Genomic DNA, 1,575 nt, shown 5'->3' on the forward strand with positions numbered 1-1,575 from the left:
GGGGAGATTTCCCATAAAGTGAAACCCTCTATAAGGGAGTAACTCTGTTCTTAACCACATCCTCCCTTCCTTTCACTCTGAGAGTACCATCTTTAAGTCTCCATCCACCTTTTGAAAAAGATGCTTTTGTAAATACTACATTTAAAAAACAGCAGTAGTCACACACACACACTGCATACAAAACATACGTTATTTTTATTGGTGGTTGCTTAATGGGGGAGGGCAGTAGAGATCAGAGGGCAGTTCAGCCACCACCCCTGCCCCAGGCCACCTCCAGAGCTAGTCTTAATCACTTCCACTGGGGTGGGCGTGGGGGGATCCACAGAGGAACATTAGAGATGGCAGGAATCTCCCGACAGTGGTCCTGCTCCTAATATGCTACCCCCAAACAGGAAGCGGGCTAGAAGAGTTTCTAATGACTCTACTGTAGGTAATTCCAGATGAGTCCCAATCCCAGGGCAGGAGCCACGCACTCCTCGGGTATATGCCGTGCGGTGTTGTTTGGGGAGGCAGAAAGGGGCAGGCAGCTTGCTCCTGACTCCCACGTGGAGGGGCGCAGGGAGGCCTTCCCAGAGACTCCAAACCCAGGGGTACAGTCGGTTCTTCGGTGCCTTCTTGGCTTCTCTGCTGCTTGAGACTTCAGGAGCCCCCAAGACTTGGTCACCGAGGTGCCACAGGCGCCGGCCTTGACCGCACTCTCCCGCGGGCCCCGGGGCTGCTTTCCCCGGCTTTACCTTTGTTTTCCTAGTCTGTTCCTCCCTGAGCTTGTTTGTGTAAGAAACCCTCTCTCCCTGCTTCCTGTGTCTCTGTCATTTCCTCCCATTGCCATTCTACACTGTGGCACTGAGGGCCATTGTTTTTCTTTCTAACCACAATTCCAGACCCTGGGAATGGCAAGTAGGTGCGCGAGGACGCTGAGGCAGGCGGGGCTGCGGGCTGGGGCCGAGCTCCGAGCCCGGGAATACTGGTGGGCTGCTGTTTGCCGGGCCGCTCGGGAAGGAAGAAACTCAGTAACAGGAGACAGCGTCTTGCCAGTTAATCCTCAGGCACTATCTAAATGAAGGCATGTTCCCAGAAGTGAAGATGGGAGATGTCTGAAAGTCCTGATAACCATCTTCTTCAAAGGAAGCTGTGACGGTCCCATTTGGTTTCTGAATTTTTAACATATCCTTATTACTTTTAAACGAACCGAAAAATAAACTAAACCTAATTTATAGGGGAGCTTAACAGAGATACGAAGCCAGGTGCTGGACACATGGATACCTAATTAGAAATGAATTTCCTTGCGCTTCTGTTCAGTGCTTCTGCGTTATCCGTTTTGATCAGCCTCACTATTCGTCCAGCCTGCGCTGTAGTGTAAGATAAACTACTTTATGTTTTCTTGGCAGCGTTTAAATCAGACAGGTTCTCACAGGAGCTCAGATTTTGGGTTGTTTCCCTGAGCACAGGGAGAAGGAACTGAAAAAGTAGCTGGCCTGGGGAAGGAAGAATGTAATGCCTTCTTATTTACCATTGAAATGCCAAAGCCTGGTTTATGTGTTGATTTCCAAATATAAACAGGAGGAACACTGTGGT

General features: G+C 49.9%; 1 annotated feature.

Annotated features, from left to right (window-relative positions):
* Positions 225-833: an enhancer, noted in NCBI's record as "H3K27ac-H3K4me1 hESC enhancer chr6:125854657-125855265 (GRCh37/hg19 assembly coordinates)". NCBI's record gives its function as "activates a minimal SCP1, AML or CMV promoter by ChIP-STARR-seq in primed H9 embryonic stem cells {active_cell/tissue: H9 hESC(primed)}" and the evidence as "EXISTENCE:reporter gene assay evidence [ECO:0000049][PMID:30033119]".

This window comes from Homo sapiens, chromosome 6 (genome assembly GCF_000001405.40).
Source record: "Homo sapiens chromosome 6, GRCh38.p14 Primary Assembly".
NCBI classification, from domain to species: Eukaryota; Metazoa; Chordata; class Mammalia; order Primates; family Hominidae; genus Homo; species Homo sapiens.